Source organism: Homo sapiens, chromosome 17 (assembly GCF_000001405.40).
Source record: "Homo sapiens chromosome 17, GRCh38.p14 Primary Assembly".
NCBI classification, from domain to species: domain Eukaryota; kingdom Metazoa; phylum Chordata; class Mammalia; order Primates; family Hominidae; genus Homo; species Homo sapiens.
In genome coordinates this window covers 68,069,473-68,094,337 of record NC_000017.11, presented here as the reverse complement: position 1 = coordinate 68,094,337, position 24,865 = coordinate 68,069,473, and the positions used below count along the sequence as shown (strand labels likewise).

The window sequence follows — 24,865 nt, the reverse complement described above, 5'->3', positions numbered from 1 at the left end:
CAAGATTATAATCTTGTAAGTAAAGAAATTCTGATACTGAGGGGAAACCCCCTACCCCTATAAAGATATCACAAGTCATTCTGGAGAAGATCTTTAAAGATAGCACCTTGTAGCCGGGCACGGTGGCTCACGCCTGTAATCCCAGCACTTTGGGAGGCCAAGGCAGGCGGATCACCAGGTCAGGAGATCGAGACCATCCTGGCTAACATGGTGAAACCCCGTCTCTACTAAAAATACAAAAAATCAGCCGGGCGTGGTGGCATGTGCCTGTAGTTCCAGCTACTCGGGAGGCTGAGGCAGAAGAATCGCTTGAACCCAGGAGGTGGAGGTTGCAGTGAGCCGAGATTGTGCCACTGCACTCCAGCCTGGGTGACAAAGTGAGACTCTGTCTCAAAAAAAAAAGAAAAAAAAATAGCACCTTGAAAATTAAGAACATTCCATTCATTTCAAGTTTGATAGGGTTTGGTACAAATATCTACTTTACCAGGATAGTAGAAAATATGGCACTGGCTGGACACAGTGGCTCACACCTGTAATCTCAGCACTTTGGGAGGCCGAGGCAGGCAGATCACGAGGTCAGGAGTTCGAGACCAGCCTGGCCAAGAAGGTGAAACCCTGACTGTAAAAATACAAAAATTAGCCGGGTGTGGTAGCATGGGCCTGTAATCCTAGCTACTCGGGAGGCTGAGGCAGAGAACTGCTTGAACCTGGGAGGTGGAGGTTGCAGTGAGCCAAGATCACAGCCACTGCACTCCAGCCTGAGCAACAAAGCGAGACTCCGTCTCAAAAAAAAAAAAACAAAAAACAAAATAAAAAAAACCATTGTGGTCTAATCCATATGTCTTTTTTCTGAATTCATTTGAACTCATTCGCTGCTATCACTGACAGTTTAAAGGCTGGGCGTGGTGGCTCACGCCTGTAATCCCAGCACTTTGGGAGGCCAAGGCAACATGGCAAAATCCCGTCACTACAAAAAATACAAAAAATTCAAAAAATTAGCCGAGTGTGGGCCAGGCAAGGTGGCTCACACCTGTAATCCCAGTACTTTGGGAGGCCAAGGCGGGCGGATCATGAGGTCAAGAGATGGAGACCATCGTGGCCAACATGGTGAAACCCCATATCTAATAAAAATAAAAAAATTAGCTGGATGTGGTAGCAGGTGCCTGTAGTCCCAGCTACTTGGGAGGCTGAGGCAGGATAATCGCTTGAACCCAGGAGGCAGAGGTTGCAGTGAGCTGAAATCACGCCACTGTACTCCAGCCTGGCGACAGAGCGAGACTCTGTCTCAAAATGAAACAAAACAAAAAATTAGCTGAGTGTGGTGGTGCACACCTGTGGTCCCAGCTACTCCAGGAGGCGGAGGTAGGAGATCACTGGAGCTCAGCAATGGAGGCTTCAGTAAGCTGAGATCACACCACCAAGAGTAAGACCCTGTCTCAAAAAATCAAAACAAAATTTAAAAAGCACACAGTTTAAATATTGTATGTAGGCATTGAAAACATTTTGGAGTTAATTTCTTTCTTTTTTTTTTTTTTCTTGAGATGGGGTCTTGCTCGGTTGCCCAGGCTGGAGTGCAGTGGCATGATCTCGGCTCACTGTAAGATCTGCTTCCCAGGTTCAAGTGATTCTCCTGCCTCAGCCTCCTGAGTAGCTGGGATTACAGGCACACACCACCACGCCAGGCTAATTTTTGTATTTTTAGTAGAGATGGGGTTTCACTATGTTGGCCAGGCTGGTCTCACTCTCTTGACCTCAGGTGATCCACCCACCTTGGCCTCCTAAAGTGCTAGGATTACAGGCATGAGCCACCGTGACTGGCCTTTGGAGTTAATTTCTAAGAAAAGGAAGTGGGCACAAGTAAGATGTATTTCATCTTAAGAACTCATTCAGAAATTTACAGTTTTTTTTTTTTTTTTTTTTAAGATGGAGTCTCACTCACTCTTGCCCAGGCTGGAGTACACAGGCGCCCTCTCGGCTCACTGCAAGCTCCGCCTCCTGGGTTCTCACCATTCTCCTGCCTCAGCCTCCCGAGTAGCTGGGACTACAGGCGCCCGCCTCCACACCTGGCTAATTTTTTGTATTTTTAATAGAGACAGGGTTTCACCATGTTAGCCAGGATGGTCTTGAACTCCTGACCTTGTGATCTGCCCACCTCGGCCTCCCAAAGTGCTGGGATTACAGGCGTGAGCCACCACGCCCGGCCAATTTACAGCCTTTTTTTAAAAAAATAGAGAGTGGGGTCTTTCTCTATTGCCAAGGCTGGGGTGCAATTGCATAATCATAGCTCACTGCAGCCTCGATCTCCTGGGTTCAAACCATCCTCCCTGCCTCAGGCTTCCTAGTAGCTAGGATTACAGGTGCATGCCACCACACTAATTTATTTATGTATTTATTTTTAGAGGGGAAGACAGCGGGGAATCTAGCTGTGTTACCCAGGCTGGTCTCTAATTCCTAGCCTCAAACGATTGTCCTTCCTCAGCCTCCCGAGTAGCTGTTATCAGCATGAGCCATTGCCCCTGGCTGAAATTTATAGTCTTTATGTATGAATTCATAAACATCATGAAGCTTTGCCCATAGCATTTCTGAAAGTGGAACTTGGCTCATGTGAATTCTCATAACAAAAGAGCAATTGCCAAAACAAGCAACTTTCTCTAAATAGAGGCGAAATAATAGTCTTACAGAGTAAATCTTCACAATGTAAAAACATAGAGTCAGTTCACTAAATATTCTCTAAAACATGCTTCCAACATGCTGTTAAGTGGAAAAAACCTTTATGATATAGTATTACTGTATAAATTCACCTCTTAACAGAAAAATATACCATATAGGCAGATTTAAAGTTTTATTTTTTTTTTTTTTGGAGACAGAGTCTCACTCTGTCACCTAGGCTGGAGTCCAGTGGTGTGATCTTGGCTCACTGCAACCTCTGTCTCCCAGGTTCAAGCAATTCTTCTGCCTCAGCCTCTCCCGAGTAGCTGGGAATACAGGCACCCACGCCACGCCCAACAAATTTATGTATTTTTAGTAGAGACAGGGTTTCACCATATTGGTCAGGCTGGTATCGAGCTCCTGACCTCAGGTGATCCACCTGCCTCAGCCTCCCAAAGTGCTGGGATTACAGGCGTGAGCCACTGCGCCTGGCCGATTTAAACATCTTAAAGGAAACACATGCAAGTGTAACTAGGGTTGTTTCTAGATAATGGGACCATGGGGATTTCTATTTCTTCTTTGACATATTTGTATTTTCCACTTTTTTCTATAATGAACATCTATCGTTAAAACAGTTAAGATACTGAGTATTAGTAAGATAAAATATGCAAATATAAAAGAAATATACCAAATGTCAACAGTGGTTGTCACTAGATGATGGCATCATCTGAGATTTTTATTTTCAACTTTTTTTTTTTTTAAGACGGAATCTTGTTCTGTTGCCCAGGCTAGAGTATAGTGGCACAATCTCGGCTCACTGCAACCTCCGCCTCCTGGGTTCAAGCTAGTCTCCTGCCTCAGCCTCCCAAGTAGCTGGGACTACAGGTGTGTACCCCCATGCCAGGCTAAGTTTTGTATTTTTAGTAGAGACAAGGTTTTGCCACGTTGGCCAGGCTGGTCTCAAACTCCTGGCCTCAAGTGATCCTCCTGCCTTGGCCTCCCAAAGTGCCGTAATTACAGGGGTGAGCCACCTTGGCAGGCAAATTTTCATCTTTAACTTCTATGTTTTCTGAATTTTCCACAAAAAGCATAGATTAGAATTATATTGGTAATATCACATATTATATCACCTCATAGTAGATGAATGGGAAGAGGAAGATAAGTGGTTACAGAGTTAGAAGGGTCACTTCAATAAACTAAAACTAATAACTTCTCATTATCGTCAACTGCTATAGAGTCTTTCTTTTAAAGATGTGTAATTGTCAATAGCAGGATCCCTAAATGAAGCAGATAAAGATGTGATTTGCAAGTAGCAATGACACCTTCATACTGGTCCTAATGATAGAGGGGTTCCCTAACTCAACACTGCCCCGTTCCTGTGGTCAGAGCACCTCTCTCTGATGTCGTCAGGAACAACCCCAGGCCAAATTCAAGTGAGAAAACTGGAGCTTAACAGTGGTTCCTAGGGTTACTTGGATCCAAAGAATCAATTGCTGAAGTAGAAGTTGAGGGAGGTGTGAGTCAAGAACAGCCTCTGTAGAAACAACTTCAGGCTTTTAGTTGACAATGGGCTCGGTATGAGTCATCCTAGTGACATGGGCTCTTGGCCAAAGAATTGCACTGAGGATGAGGGACATGATGGTGACCTGCTGCCAGCAGCCCAGCAGCCCACGCCACAAGCAATACTTTCAGTTCTGGGTGCTTTACTGTAAATGGGACAAGGAGGAGAGGAATCAAAGTGCTTAGGGACTTCAAGTCACGTACCTCAAGGAATGTTTGGAGAAGCTGAGAAAGAAAACTCAGGGGGCGGGGCGCGGTGGCTCACGCCTGTAATCCCAGCACTTTGGGAGGCTTTGGTGGGCAGATAGCTTGAGGCTGGGAGTTTGAGACCACCCTGGCCAACATAGCAAAACCCCATATCTACTAAAAAATACAAAAATTAGCCAGGTGGCGGCGCATGCCTGTAATCCCAGCTACTGGGGAGGCTGAGGCATGAGAATCACTTGAACTTGGGAGCCAAGATTGTGCTACTGCAATCCAGCCTGGGCGACAGAGTGAGACCCTGTCTCAAAAAAAATAAAAAAGAAAAAGAAAAGAAAACTCAGGGGACCCTAACAGCTACCTGCCTTAACATACCTGGTATGTTACCTGGTAAGCTATCAAGTTCAGGTCAATTAAATTTGTTCCATGTGGTTCTACAGGAAGTAGCCAGGACCAGTGTAGTGGGGCTGCAGTTGGAATTATACTGAGACAGACCTTGAAACAGGAGAAAGGATTTTTGAGTAGTTTGAAATGGCGGAAGATACACTGGTCTTGAACCTGCTCCTCAAAGTGTGGTGCAGAATTGCAGCCTGGCTTCAGAGGAAGCCTATTAGACAAGTACTAGGTCTCAGCCCCCAGCTCAGACCTACTGAATCAGTGCCTGCAGTTTAAAAAGATGCCCAGGGCCAGGCACAGTGGCTCACACCTGTAATCCCAGCACTTTGGGAGGCTGAGGCAGGCGGATCACCTGAGGTCAGAAGATCAAGACCAGCCTGACCAACATGGTGAAACCCCCGTCTTTACTAAAAACACAACAATTAGCCAGGCATAGTGATGGGTGCCTGTAATCCCGGCTACTCAGTAGGCTGAGGCAGGAGAATCGCTTGAACCTAGGAGGCGGAGGTTGCAGTGAGCCAAGATTGTGTCACTGCACTCCAGTCTGGGAGACAGAATGAAACTCCATCTCAAAAAAAAAAAAAAAAAAAGATACTTTGCCTGAAAACATAATGAGCATATTTGAAAATGTCAGTAGCATACACTTTTAAAAATAAATGTAAATAAGTAAATAGAGACAAAAGACAAATCTCCCATGTAGTGTTCCAGATAATTTCGGTAGATACTCCACCTCCTAACTCCCACTCTTTATACATGGGTTGTACATGGTGAATGACCAAAGAGGATGGTATGGAAAATGGGGAAAAAAAGAGTAACTTTACAGTGGAGAAACTGACAAACACTACTTCAGCCAGGTAATTAATAGCGGAGAGAGCAAGCGTGTATGTCCTGTGTTTTTCAACCTTGCTGACACCCTATAGTCTTGTGGGGAACAGTCTGGTGAAGCATAAAGATCTTGGATCTGGAGTCAGCCAGCTCTGAGCTCCAATCCTACCTCTGTGTGCTCTTGGGGCAGTCACTCAACCTCATTGAGTCTGTTTCCCCATCTGTGAGAAGAGGATTAGAATGCAGCGATGAGGCCGAGTGCAGTGGTTCAAACCTGTGATCCCAGTACTTTGGGAGATCAAGGCAGGAGAATCGCTTGAGCCCAGGAGTTCAAGACCAGCCTGGGCAACATAGAGAGACCTCCATCTCTACAAAAAATTTAAAAATTAGCTGGGTGTGGTGGTGCACACCTGTAATCTCAGCTACTTAGGAGGCTGAGTGGGGAGGATTACTTGAGCCTGGGAGGTTGAGGCTGCAGTAAGCTATGATGGTGCCACTGCACTGCAGCTTGGGTGACAGTGAGACCTTGTCTTAAAAAATACATGACATTAAAAAAGAAAAAGAATGCAGTGACGTCTGTCTGGCCCTTAGCAACTGTGAGTGCTGTTGGAATCATATTCTATTTGAAGGCAGCTCCAAAGTACTGGAGTGGAGTCAGGGGTGGCTTTGCAGAAGGGTCCTGCTGCTAACACAGTTTCCCTCGGGCAGATCCCCTCATACTGCCAGACTTTCCAGTCCTTCACTCATTCTTCACTAAAGCTGCAAGGGGCCAGGGCGAGATGGTTCACGCCTATAATCCCAGCACTTTGGGAGGCTGAGGTGGGTGGATTGCTTGAGATCAGGAGTTTAAAACCAGCCTGGCCAACATGGCAAAACCCTGCCTCTACAAAAAAAAAATACAAAAATTAACCAGGCGTGGTGGCGTGCGCCTATAATCCCAGCTACTCCAGAGGCTGAGGCATTAGAATTGCTTGAACCCAGGAGGCAGAGGTTGCAGTGAACTGAGATCGCGCCACTGCACTCCAGCCTAGGCGACAGGGCGAGACCCTCTCTCAAAAAAAAAAAAAAAAGCTCCAAGGTCAAGGGCTTTTCAGACCCTCTTGGTCCATTTGGTTAGGGGGTGTTTTCACAGAGCTTTGCCTGTTAGCTTTATGGGACCCGGAGGGCATACTTTATAGAACACAATTTTCATACCAGTGTCTCTAACCACAAACCCCAAGAGTCTGAACGTTGAGACACTCAGGAAGTTGAAAGGGACCTCTCCTCTTCAGAGGCCCGGCCCAGCTCTCAGGAATGGCATGCATCAAAAGGCAGGAAGTCCCTCACAAGTCTGTCCTATCAAGCCACCAGACACTGGTTACCTTTATGTGGCTGCACAAGAGGCTGAGTTCCCAGGGAGGGGCGAGGTGGTCTGGGGCCTTCAAGCCGTGGTGGAACCCACGCCTGAGAAGCGAGGCCTGCCGCTCCCACCACAGGAAGCCTGGCCCCCGCCAGCAACAGAGAGACTCAGAGCCCGGGCCTCGATGCCCTCATGGGATAAGTGGCATTTTGGTTCCTGTTTCCTTCCCTCTCTGTTTTTCTTTTCATAGATTCTCCATGCAAATATTAAACATGTCCTGCAAATCTCAGGAACCAGCACACAGAGAAACACAGAGAAGAGTGAGTGGCCTTCTTCCAAGACCTGGTTTATCAAAGGTCTGAGGCAGTCCTGATCCGCTGCTCTCCTCCTGCTGGCTGAGCCTCGCCGCTGGCTCAGTGGCCCAGGGTGCCAGCTCCCTTTCCTGGGCCTCCCGGGAAAGGAGAGGGAGAAGGTTGAGGGAGCAAGAGGGTCCCAGGGCTGCCTCCAGGGCTGGCCTGGCAAGTTGCAGCTCTGCCCCTGGGGATTTCCCTGCAGCCAATGGCTGTGGAAGAGGAAAGGAGAGGACCTTTTGATGTGGTGGAGAAGCATCATTGTAGAAGAAAGAGGAATGAGTAACAGGTTGGCCAGGGAACCATGGTGGGGCATGGTGGCTCCTGCCTGTATTCCCAGCACTTTGGGAGGCCAAGGTGGGCCGATCACTTGAGGCCAGGAGTTTGACACCAGCCTGACCAACAAGGTGAAATCCCTTCTCTACTAAAAATACAAAAATTAGCCGGGCATGGTGGTGAGCACCTGTAGTCTCAGCTACTTGGGAGGCTGAGGCAGGAGAATCACTTGAACCCAGGAAGCAGAGGTTGCAATGAGCCGAGATCGTGCCACTGCACTCCAGCCTGGGTGACAGTGAGTAAGACTCCGTCTCAAAAAAAAAAAAAAAGTAAAAGGTTGGCCAGGGAGCCTTGCTGGCCTCCTGAAGGCAGCCAAACATTAAACACACCTGCAGTCACAGAGTCCAGCTTAAGAAAGAGGCAGACCAGGAAGTGAAAGTGAAGAAAGAACGGGAGGAGAGATGGGTGGGGGCGCGGATCAAGGCAGAAAAGGGAGGCAAAAGGCAACGCTGCTAGGGACAGAGAGTGGTGACGTGCCAGCTTCTGTTCGTTAAAACCCTGCTCTGGACCATGAACACTGCTAGGCAATTTTGTTATGACAGCTCCTTGCATCCTCCCAGCATTTTACAGCTAAGGAAACTGAAGACCATGAGGTTAAATTCTTCACCCGAGGCCCACAGCTAGGGATTAGCAGAATCAGCATTTAAACCCAAGGCTGCCTGACTCCAGTGTCACACCCAAACTTCCTATCTCTCTGTTAGCAGTTCTTAGTTGCTGGGGATTCAGACTCTATTTTGTTGCTTGTATAGTTCAATACTCCCCACACTGTGGCCACATTGCAGCCTGCAGAGGCAATAAAAGGGAGGGGAAGGCATGCATTTCCTCTAAGGGCACAGCCCAGTGGCTGAATACATCATTTCTTCTCACACTTTACACACTGGAATGTAGTCATAAGAGCCACATCTGGGGGCAAATGGATTATAGGTGAGCCTAAGAGGTTGCTCCCCTCGGCCCTTCAGGCAGACCTGAGATAATGGGTGTCTCTAGCCACAGGGAGCAGGTTCATTACCCCAGCACACCATGCAAAGGAATGACTTTCTCTAGGAGTATCGTCCTGTGCAAAAATTGGGCTCCACTGACTTAGAAAACTAAAACTAGGTGGCCTAGAAGTCTGGAAAAAGAATAGGAAAACATTCCCATGGTGTTGTCGGTGGGAAAAAATGGATATCAAGGACAAGAGTGATGGTCAGGCATGGTGGCTCACATCTGTAATCCCAGCATTTTGGGAGGCTGAGGCAGGCAGATCACTTGAACCCAGGAGTTTGAGACCAGCCTGGGCAAAATGGCAAAACTCCGTCTCTACAAAAAATATTTTTAAAAATTAGCTGGGCGTGGTGGCATGCACCTGTTGTCTCAGTTACTCAGGTGGTTGCAGAGGGAGCCTGGGAGGTCAAGACTACAGGGAGCCAAGATTGCACCAGCACTACTGCACTCCAGCCTGGGTGACAGAGTGAGATTCTGTCTCAAAAAAAGAGTAAAAAAAGGACAAGAGTGTGAAGACAAACTCCATCAACTTTCACAAAAAGATAATCATCAATACAGGGACATTTCTGCCAAAATTAATTGCAACTTGGGGAAACCCTTCTTTAAATTGGTGAGAAAATAAGAAAAAGGCCTGGTGCAGTGGCTCACCCCTGTAATCCCAGCACTTTGGGAGGCCAAGGCAGGTGGATCACCTGAGGTCAGGAGTTTGAGACCAGCCTGGCCAACATGGTGAAACCCCATCTCTACCAAGAAATGCAAAAATTAACTGGATGTGGTGGCACATGCCTGTAATCACAGCTACTTGGGAGGCTAAGGCAGGAGAATTGCTTGAACCCGGGAGGGGCAGGTTGCAGTGAGCCGAGATCGCACCACTGCACTCCAGCCTGGGCGACAAGAGTGAAACTCCATCTCAAATAAATAAATAAATAAGAACAAAGATTTTAAAATCCTAAATAGTATATATATATATATATATACACACACACTATATATATATATATATACACACACATATTATATATATTTATATAAAGTGAATTCATTAGGGAATTTTTAAAAATTAAAATGATCAAGTAAGATTTATCTCAGATTAGCAGGGGTTACTACAACGAAGGACATCCCCTCAAAATAGAATCCTGGAAAATGTGTAGTGGGGATGGAATGGGTCAAGTGCAATCAATGGCATTCAGTGGCATTAAAATCACACAAATTATCAGCAGTGGCATGGGATGAAGGGTAGGTATAGAGGATAAGGCACTGGGATTTGGAATGGCTTGGGCACTTAGACACTGTGACAGTGATGGTCAGTATAAAGATTATAGAGTCACTTGGCCTCTCTCAACAGCACTGGAGAGATTACACAGGGAAAAGGAAAAGTCAAAAGCTATGAATGAGGGCCTGGCACAGTGGCTCATGCCTGTAATCCTAGCACTGTAGGAGGCCGAGGTGGGTGGATCACTTGAGATCAGGAGTTCGAGACCAGCCTGAGAAACATGGCGAAACCCAGTCTCTACAAAAAAACACAAAAATTAGCTGGATGTGGTGGCTCGTGCCTGTAGTCCCAGCTACTTGGGGGGCTGAGGCAGGAGAATCACTTGAACCCAGGAGGTGGAGGCTTGCAGGGAGCCGAGATCTCAACACTGCACTCTACTGGGTGATAGAGTGAGATCCTGTCTCCAAAAAAAAAGGAAAAAAAAAAGGCCGGGCACGGTGGCTCATGCCTGTAATCCCAGCACTTTGGGAGACCAAAGCAGGCGATCACCTGAGGTTGGGAGTTCGAGACCAGCCTGACCAACATGGAGAAACCCTGTCTCTACTAAAAATACAAAATTAGCCAGGCATGGTGGCATGTGCCTATAATCCCAGCTACTCGAAAGGCTGAGGCAGGAGAATCGCTTAAACCCGGGAGGCGGGGGTTGCGGTGAGGCCAGATCATGCCATTGCACTCCAGCCTGAGCAACAGGAGTGAAACTCCATCTCAAAAGAAAAAAAAGCTGTTAATGTTGAACTGAGAATGCAATAGACAGCAAGAAAGGTTTGGTGGCATCTTAGAAGGAGACTTCATCTCCTGTACTTTCAGGGTGGATATGATGGAAGACTCAGTCCAGGGCCTCATTGTGCATGTAAGAGCTCCAAATAAATGCTTAGGAAAGGGCATAGTGGGGACGTAGTGGGACCTTGAGACTTAGAATAGGAGCATCTAAATGGTCACAGACAAGGCTGAGACTTTGGCACTTTTGAATTCTCAAATCCTGTCTGTTCAGGTAAGTCCTCCCGTGTAGAGGTAACCAACTTATCCCTGCCTAAGGGACCTTCTGTGACTGCACCTAGGACAGTTGCTTCACTAAAAAGGGACTCCAGATCTTCTCTTCATTCCTCCAGCTTCAAAAAGAGAGTTAGATCCCAACATAGCCCACTTGGGCAGTACAAGGCCTGCTCTAGAAAGAGAATGTTTATACACTAAGGTAGTTCCAAGACCTTGCCAATTCAAATCCACAACGCTCTTGGGAGCACGTGTGGGAGTGGATTCTAAGCATTGTTAGCCGAAAGATGGTAAATACAAGGCTTGGCTGGGCGCAGAGGCTTGCGCCTATAATCCCAGCACTTTGGGAGGCTGACGCGGGCAGATCACCAGGTCAGGAGTTTGAGACCATCCTGGCCAACATGGTGAAACCTGTTTCTACTAAAAATACAAAAAATTAGCCAGGTGTGGTGGTGGATGCATGCCTGTAGTCCCAGCTACTCAGGAAGCTGCGGCAGGAGAATCCCTTGAACCCAGGAGGCAGAAGTTGCAGTGAGCACAGATCGTGCCACTGCACTCCCGCCTGGGCGAAAGAGTGAGACTCTGTCTCAAAAATAAAATAAAAGGCTTGATTGGGCTGAATTCACTGATACACTCACCCAGGTTTGGGCTTTGGAGTTGGCATGAATAATCTACAATGGCTAAGTTGGACTTAATAGAGACGTGAAGTTCCACCACCCAGAAGCAGCTGGCTTAGAAAGCGGTGAAATAGCTGCTGAAAGTTAATTTACAGGGTTAGCCTAAAGACGACACCCCGTGGGCTTCAAGTGTTGGCCTACAGGATAGTTATGTCTTTTAAAACATGCTAACATTTGGAGTTGTCACCTTCATAACTAGAAAGTGTACATCTAGAGGCCAGGCGCGGTGGCTCACGCCTGTAATCCCAGCACTTTGGGAGGCCGAGGGGGGTGGATCAGGTGGTCAGGCGTTTGAGACCAGCCTGACCAAAATGGTGAACCCCTATCTCTACTAAAAATACAAAAATTAGCCAGGCATGGTGGCAGACCCCTGTAATCCCAGGTTATTTGGGAGGCTGAGGCAGGAGAATCGCCTGAACCTGAAAGGCAGAGGTTGCAGTGAGCCAAGATCGCACCACCACACTCTAGCCTGTGACAGAGTAAGACTGTCTCATTAAAAAAAAAAAAAAAAAAAAAGCGTACATCTAGGAAACAGGATGAAGAAGTAGCTGCTCTCACTCTTACACCTAAACTCTTGCTGCCCATCCCTATTGTGTCCAGAATTGGTGGGTTTGTGGTCTCACTGACCTCAAGAATAAGGCCGCGGACCCTCTCGGTGAGTGTTACAGTTCTTAAAGGCGGAGTTGTCCGTAGTTTGTTCCTTCTGATGTTCAGATGCATTTGGAGTTTTTTTCTTCTGGTGGGTCCCTGGTCTCGCTGATTCAGAAATGAAGCTGCAAACCTTCACGGTGAGTGTCACAGCTCTTAAAGCTGCACAACTGAAGTTGGTCGCTCCTGACGGTGGGTTCGTGGTCTCACTGGCTTCAAGAGTGAAGCTGCAAACTTTTGTGTTACAGCTCATAAAAGCAACATAAACCATAACAGTGAGCAATAACAAGACTTACTGCAAAGTGCAAAAAAAACAAACCTCCCAGACTATCAAACAGGACACAAGCAGATTCCCGCTGCTGGCTTGTGCAGCCTGCTTTTATTCTCTTATCTGGCCCCACCCACATGCTGCTGATTGGTCCATTTTACAGAGAGCCAATTGGTCTGTTTTACAAAGAGCTGACTGGTCCGTTTTGACAGGGTGCTGATTGGTGCATTTACAATCCCTTAGCTAGACACAAAAGTTCTCCATGTCCCCACTAGATTAGCTAGATACAGAGTGTCTATTGGTGTATTTACAAACCCTGAGCTAGACACAGAGTGCTGATTGGTGTGTTTACAAACCTTGAGCTAGATACAGAGTGCTGATTGGTGCATTCACAATCCCTTAGCTAGACATAAAGAAAGATTCTCCAAGTCCCCACCAGACTAACTAGATACAGAGTGCTGATTAGTGCATTCACAAACCCTGAGCTAGACACAGGGTGCTGATTGGTGTGTTTACAAACCTTGAGCTAGATACAGAGTGCTGATTGGTGTATTTACAATCCCTTAGCTAGACATAAAGATTCTCCAAGTCCCCACCAGACTAACTAGATACAGAGTGCCCATTGGTGCATTCACAAACCCTGAGCTAGACACAGGGTGCTGATTGCTGTGTTTACAAACCTTGAGCTAGATACAGAGTGCTGTTTGGTGTATTTACAATCCTTTAGCTAGACATAAAGATTCTCCAAGTCCCCACCAGACTCAGGAGCCCAGCTGGCTTCACCCAGTGGATCCCACATGGGGGCCGCATGTGGAGTTGCCTGCCAGTCCCGCGCTGTGCGCCCGCACTCCTCATCCCTTGGGTGGTGCATGGGACTAGGCGTGGTGGAACAGGGGGCGGCGCTCCTCGGGGAGGCTGGGGCCGCACAGAAGCTCACTGCGGTGGCGGGGAGGTTCAGGCATGGCAGGCTGCACGTCCCTGAGCCCTGCCCCGCAGGGAGGCAGCTAAGGCCCGGCAAGAAGTCGAACACAGCAGCTGCTGGCCCAGGTGCTAAGCCCCTCGCTGCCCGGGGCTTGCGGGCCGGGGGCCGCTCCTAGTGCGGGGCCCACCGAGCCCACGCCCACCCGGAACTCGCGCTGGCTGGCAAGCGCAGCGCGCAGCCCCGGTTCCCGCCCGCGTCTCTCCCTCTACACCTCCCCGCAAGCTGAGGGAGCCGGCTCCGGCCTTGGCCAGCCCAGGAAGGGGCTCCCACAATGCAGCGGCGGGCTGAAGGGTTCCTCAAGCGTGGCCAGAAGTGGGCGCCAAGGCCGAGGAGGCCCCGAGAGCGAGCGAGGGCTGCAAGGGCTGCCCGCATGCTGTCACCTCTCACTATGACCTTGGATTTGGGAGTTTGAATATTCTAGTGCCTAAGGTGGGGACTGTTTCTACCAGGGAATTGTACTACCATGGTCATGGGTCTGATAAATTGGAAGCTAAGGCTTCCCTCAGGCCATCTGGAGATACTTATGTCATTGATCCAGCAGGCACGGAAGGAAAGACAAATAAATATCTTTCCTTTTGGTCACCCAACACCTGAACCTTCTTCCTATATCTCTAGGGTACAAGCAGATGACCTGGGCTCAGCCCTATAAAAACACTCAGCCGCTGGCCAGGAGTGGTGGCTCACGCCTGTAATTCCAGCACTTTGGGAGGCTGAGGCAGGAGAATCGCTTGAACCCGAGAGGAGAGGTTGCAGTGAGCCGAGACGGCGCCACTGCACTCCAGCCTGGGCAATAGAGCAAGACTCAGCCTCAAAAATGAAAAAATAAAAACTAAAAACACTCAGCCCTAATTCGAATGGAACATGAGTTGCCCCACCTGCAGTGGCATAGGATAGAGTTCCTGGAGCAGGGGCAGCAGTGCTACTGGCAGTCTGAAGGATTCAGTGCTGGAGAGGTGGGAGGAGAAGCAACAGCATCTACAGTTCAGAGAACCAGTCTTCCCCATAATTCAGAGAGATGCCACTCTCCTCCTCATGAATCATTTTACCGCTAAAGTTGATTCCTATGGCCTGCGACTGACAACTCTTATTGAAACTGTTGTACTGTTCTCTATTTCTCTGTTTTTGAAGTATTCCATAATAAAGAAAATGAATAAGGAGGAAAGATGCAGGATCATCTTAATAAAAGCAGAAAAAGCATGCAATAACATTCAACATTCATAAATAACAGTAACAGGCTGGGCGCGCTGGCTCACGCCTGTAATCTCAGTACTTTGGGAGACCGAGGCGGGCGGATCACAAGGTCAGGAGTTCGAAACCAGCCTGGCCAATATGGTGAAACCCTGACTTTACTAAAAATACAAAAGGGTGGCTGGGCACGGTGTCTCACGCCTGTAATCTCAGCACTTTGGGAGGCCGAGGCGGGCAGATCACGATGTCAGGAGTTCAAGACCAGCCTGACCAACACAGTGAAACCCCGTCTCTACTAAAATACAAAAAGTTAGCCAGGCATGGTGGCAGGCGCCTTTAATCCCAGCTGCTCGGGAGGCTGAGGCAGGAGACTCGCTTGAACCCGGGAGGCGGAGGTTGCAGTGAGCTGAGATTGCAGCACTGCACTCCAGCCTCGGCGACAGAGGGAGGAGACTACGTCTCAAAAACAAACAAACAAACAAACAAACAAACAAACAGTAATAACAAATTCGTAGGAAACTAGACTAGCTGCCAACTTCCTTAACATGATGAACATTTTCTATCAAAACACGCAGGAGAAATAATAATGGAAATGTAGAAGCCTTCTCTTTAAGAGCAGAAACAAAGAATGAAAGCCCATTGTCACCATTTCTATTTAACATTGGAGGGCCAGGCCGGGCGCGGTGGCTCATGCCTGTAATCCCAGCACTTTGGGAGACCAAGGTAGGTGGATCACTTGACGTCAGGAGTTCGAGACTAGCCTGGCCAGCATGGTGAAACCCTGTCTCTACTAAAAATACAAAAATTAGGCAGGCGTGGTGGCGGGCGCCTGTAATCCCAGCTACTCAGGAGGGTGAGGCAGGAGAATCACTTGAACCCAGGAGGCAGAGGTTGCAGTGAGCTGAGATCGCACCACTGAACACCAGCCTGGGCAACAGAGCAAGACTCCATCTCAGACAAAAACAAAAACAAAAAATCCCATTTACAATAGCAACAAAAGTTATAAAAGGCTTAAGAATAAATCCAGCTGGGTGCAGTGGCTCACGCCTGTAATCCTAGCACTTTGGGAGGCTGAGGCGGGCAAATCACTTGAGGCCAGGAGTTTGAGACCAGCCTGGCCAACATGATGAAACCTCTACTAAACCAAAAAATTAGCCAGGCGTGGTGGTGTGCACCTGTAATCCCAGCTACTTGGGAGGCTGAGGCTGAGGCTGAGGTGGAAGGACTCCTTAAGCCAGGAGGTCCGCAGAGGCTGCAGTGAGCCATGATGGTGCCATTGCACTCCAGCCTGGGCAACAGAGCCAGATCCAGTGTAAAGAAAAAAAAAAGTGTAGTATTTGTGCAGGGAGAAACAAAGAACCCAGTGGAACAAAATATAACCAGAAAATGACCCATGCCATATGAAAATAATATATGGCAGAGAAGACATTACAGATCAGTGAAAAGAAGATAGTGGTGCTGGCCTAATTAGTTACCCAAATGGGAGAAAATAGTTTGATCCTTACTTCATAGCATACACAAAAACAAATTATAGGTGAATTGAAGACCTAAATGTGGAGGCAAAACTCCAAAATGGGTAGAAAAAATATATAAGGGATTTTGTTTATAGCAGAATACAAAAGAGTTTCTCAAATAAGACACAAAAAGGATAGACTATAAAATTATTTTAGAAACTTCTTACCAAAAGAAATAAAGGAAACAAGAAGGAGAATTTAAAAGCCATAACAACAGTGAAAATAAAGCCACAGACTTTAAGATTCATTTTCAGAAAATTTGTTTTAAACTCCTATAAAATCAAGAAGAAAATAACAAACAACCCAAGTGGAAAATGGGCAAAGGATATTAAAAGGAAACTCACAGAATGGTCAAGGGCATGTGAAAAGAGCCTCCAAACTCATTAACAGGGAAATGAAACTTAAAACAACCCGGAAAGACCACTTTGTATCCCTCAGCTTGGCAAGAGCTTGAAGGACTGACAATGGCAAGTGTTGGCAAGGACACGCAAAAATGGGAACTCACACACACTGCTGGCCAGAGTGTAAATTACTACAGTCACTTTGAAGAACAATTTGGCCATAGCTAGTAAAATCAGTGGTGAACAAATCCTTCAGTCCACCAGTTCTGCTTCCGGATATACACCATAAGCTCACACACTTGCCCGAAACGGAGTAAACAACAATGCCCATTGTAACTCTGTCTGTACTAGTAAAAAACTGCAAAACAACTCAAATATTCATCAACAGAAGGCCAGAGAAACAAGTTGCATACAGTTGAAAAAAAAAGAACGAGAGCCACATATATCACTATGGATAAATTTCAAAAACAAATTTGAAAGCATGCTGAAGTTTTTGTTTTGTTTTGTTTTGTTTTCAGACTGAGTCTCGCTCTGTCACCCAGGCTGGAGTGCAGTGGCACGATCCCGGCTCTCTGCAATCTCTGCCTCCCAGGCACAAGCAATCCTCCCACCTCAGCCTCCTGCATAGCTGGGACTACAGGCACGCACCACCACACCTTGCTACTTTTTTGGGTTTTGTTTTTTTGTTTTGTTTTGTTTGGAGATGGAATTTCACTCTTGTTGCCCAGGCTGAAGAGCAATGGTGCAATCTTGGCTCACCGCAACCTCCACCTCCTGGGTTCAAGCAATTCTCCTGCCTCAGCCTCCTGAGTAGCTGGGATTACAGGCACCCACCACCACGCCCAGCTAATTTTTGTATTTTTAGTAGAGATGGGGTTTATCCAGGTTGGTCAGGCTGGTCTCAAACTCCTGACCTCAGGTGATCCACCCTCCTCGGCCTCCCAAAGTGTTGGGATTACAAGCGTAAGCCACCACGCCTGGCCAAGTTTTTTTTGTTTGTTTGTTTGTTTTTTGGGTGTTTTTTTGTTTTTTTTTTTTTTTGGTGGAGACGGGTTCACCATGTTGATGGCTTTCTCAAAGTCTTAAACACAGAGTTGCCCTATATCACCTTATGACCCAGAAATTCCACTTCTGGCTATTCATCTAAGAGAACTGCAAACATACATTTACACAAAAAATTGTACACAAATGTTCATGGCAGCATTATTCATAAAAGCCAAAAAGTGGATATAACCCAAATGCTCTTCAACTGACAAATGGATAAACAAATGTGGTATCTCCATACATTGGAATGTTGCTTGGCAATAAAAAGGAATGAAGTACTGATCCATGCTACAACAGGGATAAACTTTGAAAACACACTAAATGAAATAAGCCAGACACAAAGGACAACAGAGAGTATGATTCCATGTATATAAAATGTGCAGAGTAGGCAAGTCCATAGACACAGAGAGTAGATGAGCAGTTGCCTAGGGCTGGGGAGGAAGGGATCAGTGGGGAGTGACTGCTAATAGATGCTCAGTTTCTTTTAGGGAATGAAGAAATCTTCTGAAATTAGATAGTGGTGATAGTTGCATAACTCTGTGAATACAGTAAAAGTACTGAATTGTACACTTTACAAGGGTTAATTTTATGGCATGTCAATTATACCTCAATTAAAAACACACACACACACATTGAGAATCTTATGTTGAAGTTTGTGGCCTGCTCTGCCCATTTCTATATCGCCTCCACCATTTGCCCCTAGGAGAAGGTTCAGGACAGTATAGTGGGAGTGTGAGCTGGACACTGTTCAAATGCTTGCCCTCCTACAAAGACCCTGAGGAAATGAAGCTGGAGCCCAGTGTCAGAAATCCAGTTTTATAGGCTGCAGTGTGGTCATCAAGAATGTTTGTCCCTGTCTCCTATAGCCAAGCAAATGTTTAATTGTAGGAAACAAGTGAGCTTTGGAGTGGCATATGATGGTTTAAAATGTTATTCCATATTTTATTTTATTATTTTATTTTATTTTATTTTATTTTTTGAGACAGAGTCTTGCTCTGTCGCCCAGGCTGGAGTGCAGTGGCATGATCTCGGCTCACTGCAGCTTCTGCCTCCCAGGCTCAAGCGATTCTCATGACTCAGCCTCCTGAGTAGTTGGGACTACAGGCATGTACCACCACACCTGCCTAATTTTTTTGTTTGTATTTTTAGTAGAGACAGGGTTTCACCATGTTGGCCAGGCTGGTCTTGAACTCCTGGCCTCAAGTGATCCACTCACCTTGGCCTCTGCAAGTGCTGGGATTACAGTTGTGAGCCACCACGGCCAGCCTAAGTGTTACTCCATATTTTAGATCTGCTTAACTACTCCAAATTTACTTATAAGACTGCTATAGTCATGTCACAAAGTCATAGTAGTTTCTTGATAAGCAGTCATTTTCATTCATTTTGTAAGCAGATCTGAATGCTGTAGTATTTCAAATGTCTAAAATATTTGTAAATAAAAATATGAGGCCGGGTGCAGTGGCTCATACCTGTGATCCCTGCACTTTGGGAGGCTGAGGTGGGAGGATCACTTGAGCCTGGGAAATCAAAGCTGCAGTGAGCCCTTATCATGCCAGTGTACTCCAACCGAGGCAACAGAGTAAGACCCTGAGAAAGAGAGAGAGAGAAACGGAGGGAAGGAAGGGAGGGAGGGATGGAGGGAAGCAGGCAGATGGGGGACTGGGCGAAGTGGCTCACACCTGTAATCCCAGCACATTGGGAGGCCGAGGTGGGTGGATCACCTGAGGTCAGGAGTTCAAGACCAGCCTGGCCAACATGGAGAAACCCCATCTCTACTAAAAATACAAAAATTACCCGGGCATGGTGGCAGGGCCTGTAATCCCAGCTACTCAGGAGGCTGAGGCAGGAGAATCGCTTGAACGCAGGAGGCAGAGGTTGCAGTGAGCCAAGATCAAGCCGTTGCACTCCAGCCTGGGCAACAAGAGTGAAACTCTGAATCAAAAAAAAAAAAAAAAAAAAAAAAAGACAGATGGGATTATTCATTTTTATAAAATATTTAACCCAACAAATCCAAAATATCATTTCAGCATGTAAATAATACAGATGGTCCCCAATTTAACCATGGTTCCATTAAAGGATTTTTTTTGACTTTAATAATGGATTTATCAGAATATAACCTCATCATAAGTTGAGGAACATCTGTATAAAAATATATTAATGAGATACCCTACATTCATTATCCTTTGTATACCAAGTCTTACCATGTGGATTTTGCACTTCCCACACATCTCAATATGGACCAGCCATATCACGTGCCCCCTGCCAGATGCATCTAGTGGCTTTCACATCGGACAGCTCCACACTAGAATGACAGTAAGGCACAGAACCAGACAGTCCCCCCGCTTCCAGCTCCTGATCAACCACTTGTAGCCATGGGAGCTTTGGAGACTGCCTTAATAGTTATGAATCTAAGCTAGGTGTCATGGCTCACACCTGTAATCCCAACTCTTTGGGACGCCAAGATGGATGGATAGCTTGAGGCTTTTTTTTTTTTTTTTTTTTTTTTTAGACAAGAGTCTCGCTCTGTTGCCAGGCTGGAGTGCAGTGGCACGATCTTGGCTCACTGCAACCTCCGCCTCCCAGGTTCAAGGGATTCTCCTGCCTCAGCCTCCCCCTGAGTAGCTGAGACTACAGGTGCGCACCACCACGCCCAGCTAATTTTTGTATTTTTAGTAGAGACAGAGTTTCACCATGTTGGCCAGAATGGTCTCGATCACTTGACCTCATGATCCACCCACCTCAGCCTCACAAAGTGCTGGGATTACAGGCGTGAGCCACCGCGCCCGGCCAGCTTGACGCTTGAGTCCAGGAATTCAAGACCAGCCTGGGCAACATGGTCGAAACCCTGTCTCTACTGAAAAAAAAAAAAAAAAATTATCCGGGCATGGTGACACACGCCTACAGTCCCAGCTACCCCAGAGGCTGAGGTGGGAGGATCATTGAACCCCTAAAAGTCAAGGCTGAAGTGATCCAAGATTGCATCACTGAACTCCAGTCTGGGTGATGGGAGTGAGACCCTGTCTCAAAAAAAAAAAAAAATAGAAAAGCTCTGAATCTATGGGTTCTAGCCCTGGGAAATTCTGGATAACATGGAGTTAACAGTTCACCTGCCTCAGGTGAGATAATGTAAAACTAGAAAGGTCCATACCATTGTGATGTCTAATTGAATCTATTTATCAAAACAGTACCCAAATGCAGTATGTTCAGAAACCTTATACTGTTAGGTAATAATAACCATAAACAAGATAAAAAATATGGGCTGGGTGTGGTGGCTCCCACTGTTATCCTAGCATTTTGGGAGGCGAAGGCAGGAGGATCACTTGAGGCTGGGAGTTTGAGAACAACCTGGGCAACATAGCAAGACCCCATCTCTATAAAAAAACATATAAATATAATATAAAGATATATATATTTTATATATATACATATATTTGTACCTGTTAACGTGGGGTGAGGGGTGCAGGGAGGGTGGAAAGGAGAAAGTCATAATATTAAGCATCAGTAGGCCGGGCGCAGTGGCTCATGCCTGTAATCCCAGCACTTTGGGAGGCTGAGGCGGGCAGATCACAAGGTCAGGAGATTGAGATCATCCTGGCTAACATGGTGAAATATCATCTCTACTAAAAATACAAAAAATTAGCCAGGCGTGGTGGCGGGCGCCTGTGGTCCCAGCTACTTGGGAGGCTGAGGGAGGAGAATGGCGTGAACCCAGGAGGCATAGCTTGCAGTGAGCCGAGATTGCACCACTGCACTCCAGCCTGGGCAACAGAGCAAGACTCTGTCTCAAATATATATATATTTATATATATATATTTTATATTTAATATATATAATATATATTATATATAAATTTATTATATATAATATATATTATATATAAATTTATTATATATAATATATATTATATATATTATATGTTATATATATTTATTACATATAATATATAATATATATTTATTATATATAATATATATTTATTATATATTATATATTATATATTTTATATTTTATATATATTATATAATTTTATATTTTATATATATTATATAATTAATATTTAATATATATTATATATATATATATAATATATATTTATTATATATAATATATATTTATTATATATTATATATTATATATTTATATTTTATATATATTATATATTTATATTTTATATATATTATATATTTATATTTTATATATATTATATATAATATATATATTATATATTTTATATATAATATATATTTATTATACATATTTTATATTATATATAATATATATTTATTATATATTTTTATATATATTATATATAATATATATATATTTATATATATATATTTTATATTTAATATATATAATATATATTATATATAAATTTATTATATATAATATATATTATATATAAATTTATTATATATAATATATATTATATATATTATATGTTATATATATTTATTACATATAATATATAATATATATTTATTATATATAATATATATTTATTATATATTATATATTATATATTTATATTTTATATATATTATATATTTATATTTTATATATATTATATATTTATATTTTATATATATTATATATAATATATATATTATATCTTTTATATATAATATATATTTATTATACATATTTTATATTATATATAATATATATATTATATATATATATATATATATATTTATATATATATATATTTATATATTTTATATATATATAATATATATTAATTATATATAATATATATATTATATATATATTATATATAATACGTAATATATATTTATTATATATATTTTGTATATATTATATATTATATATTTATTATATATATTTTATATATATTATGTATATTTTATATACAATACATAATATATATTTTATATACAATATATAATATATATTTTATATACAATATATAATATATATTTTATATAATATATTTTTATATAATATATATTTTATATTATATATAATATATATTTTATATATTATATATAATATATATTTTATATTATATATAATATATATTTTATACTATATATAATATATATTTTATACATTATATAATATATATTTTATACTATATATAATATATATTTTATACATTATATAATATATATTTTATATATTATATAATATATATTTTATGTTATATAATATATATTTTATGTATTATATAACATATATTTTATGTATTATATAACGTATATTTTATATATTATGTAACGTATATTTTATATATTATGTAACGTATATTTTATATATTATGTAACGTATATTTTATATATTATGTAATATATATTTTATATATTATATATTTTGTATATTATATATTTTGTATATGATATATTATATATTTTATATATTATATATTATATATTTTGTATATTATATATTATATATTTTATATATAATATATCATATATATTTTATATATATATAAAGCATCAGTAAACAACTCTAGAGCCAGGCACCGTGACTCACTCCTGTGATCCCAGCTTTTCGAAAGGCTGAGGCAGGAGGATCGCTTGAGGCCAGGAGTTCAAGACCAGCCTTGGCAACATAGTGAGACTCTCCCGTCTCTAAAACAACAACAACAAAAGGTTAATTAAAAATTAAAAGAAAAGAAAACTCCACAGCCACCTTCTCCAGGAAAATAAGTCCCAAAGCCACTTGCCACTGATGCAGAGGTGCGCAGAGCCCGAGGAACACGGAGTCATAGCAGCTCTGCAAATTGATTTTATTCCAGGCTAAAAGATGCTATTTCTCAAAAAAAGGAGCTGGGAGCGTCTCTGTTCATGAATTCATTTTTCAGGGGTGGGGTGATTTCAAGAGTCCAGGCTGTTTCCTGACCATGCACACTGTTCCGGCCTGGAAGCCTCAGACCCCAGCCAGGCTGACCACGAGCCAGACCCGGAGTAAGCTTCGTCCCATGCTTCCTGTCGGTCCGGGCAGCCTGAGTTTCCTGGTGACCCTTCCCTGCACCCAGCCAATTCAAAGGTCTGGCAAGGCCTGGTGCCAGCCAAGAAAATCTGAGGCAGCCAGGTTTGTTATTTCAAATCTCTAAACCTTCAGACCTCTGTGCTTGGCTTACATATGTGAAAGTTAAAACAAGGATGTGTGTCGCAGTGGTGATTATAATTCAAGTAAGCAAAGATCCCTGCATGACCAGCCTTCGAATGTCAGCCCATGCTGAAGTTAACACATTTAACTCATAGAACAAAATAGTTAAAATGAGGAGTGGATGCAAAATGGTACTGCCATTCTAGAAAACAGTTGGCAGTTTCTTATAAAGTTAAACGTACGCTTACCACAAGACCCAGCAATCACCCTCCCAGAGAAATGAAAATTTATGTTCATATAAAATATTGTACACAAATAATTATAACAGCTTTATTTGTAATAGTCATGTATCAATCAGGATTCTCCAAGGAAACAGGACCAATAGAAGAGAGATATATACATAATAAATCATATATATAAATGATATATATAAGAAGTTATATATATATACACAAACACATACATATATTGTGATAACCTACCTTGTTTTAACCTGAGTGACTCTCTCCTAGCAGAGAGAGCCAGACAGACTCCATTTTAGTTTCTTCATTCACAGCCCCCTTTATCCCCCTTAAGGGAATAACTAGTGCAAGCTGACTCTAAGCACATCCAGTAATGCACCTGCTGATAAGATATTGAGGCAGGCTGTACCAGCAGCTCCTGGGAATGTGCTCGGTGGAAGGTATCTAAAAGCCCCTGCATTTATCTCTTAGTGATAGTTTAAGCCCCTGCACCTGGAACTGTTTATCTTTTACAACTGCTTCTATAACCAATTAATTTTTTAACTTTTTGCCTGTTCTGCTTCTGTAAAACTGCTTCAGTTAAACTCCCCCTCCCCTATTTAGACCATAGTATAAAAGAGAATCTAGCCCCTTCTTCGGGGCTGAGAGAATTTTGAGTGCTAGCTGTCTCTCAGTCGCCGGCTAATAAAGGACTCCATAATTTGTCTCAAAGTGTGGCGTTTCTCTATAACTCGCTTGGTTACAACACTATCTCTCAGGGATCTCCAAAGAAATAGAACCTATAGGATATATCTATCTATAATAAATCATTGCCAGGCATGGTGGCTCACCCAGTACTTTGGGAGGCCAAGTCAGGAGGATCACTTGAGCCCAGGAGTTTGAGGCCACCTGAGCAACATAGTGAGACCCTGTCTCTACAAAAAAAAAAAATTTTTTTTTTAATTAGCCAGGTTGAGCCAGGCACGGTGGCTCATGCCTGT

At 43.5% G+C, this 24,865-nt stretch overlaps 5 annotated features.

The window, feature by feature from the left end:
* Window positions 4,180-4,229: an enhancer, noted in NCBI's record as "active region_12636". NCBI's record gives its function as "activates an Ori minimal core promoter by ATAC-STARR-seq in GM12878 lymphoblastoid cells {active_cell/tissue: GM12878}" and the evidence as "EXISTENCE:reporter gene assay evidence [ECO:0000049][PMID:35858748]".
* Window positions 6,761-7,336: an enhancer, noted in NCBI's record as "H3K4me1 hESC enhancer chr17:66083143-66083718 (GRCh37/hg19 assembly coordinates)". NCBI's record gives its function as "activates a minimal SCP1, AML or CMV promoter by ChIP-STARR-seq in naive and primed H9 embryonic stem cells {active_cell/tissue: H9 hESC(naive and primed)}" and the evidence as "EXISTENCE:reporter gene assay evidence [ECO:0000049][PMID:30033119]".
* Window positions 7,064-7,123: a silencer, noted in NCBI's record as "silent region_8886". NCBI's record gives its function as "represses an Ori minimal core promoter by ATAC-STARR-seq in GM12878 lymphoblastoid cells {active_cell/tissue: GM12878}" and the evidence as "EXISTENCE:reporter gene assay evidence [ECO:0000049][PMID:35858748]".
* Window positions 12,999-13,499: an enhancer, noted in NCBI's record as "H3K27ac-H3K4me1 hESC enhancer chr17:66076953-66077453 (GRCh37/hg19 assembly coordinates)". NCBI's record gives its function as "activates a minimal SCP1, AML or CMV promoter by ChIP-STARR-seq in primed H9 embryonic stem cells {active_cell/tissue: H9 hESC(primed)}" and the evidence as "EXISTENCE:reporter gene assay evidence [ECO:0000049][PMID:30033119]".
* Window positions 13,500-14,000: an enhancer, noted in NCBI's record as "H3K27ac-H3K4me1 hESC enhancer chr17:66076452-66076952 (GRCh37/hg19 assembly coordinates)". NCBI's record gives its function as "activates a minimal SCP1, AML or CMV promoter by ChIP-STARR-seq in primed H9 embryonic stem cells {active_cell/tissue: H9 hESC(primed)}" and the evidence as "EXISTENCE:reporter gene assay evidence [ECO:0000049][PMID:30033119]".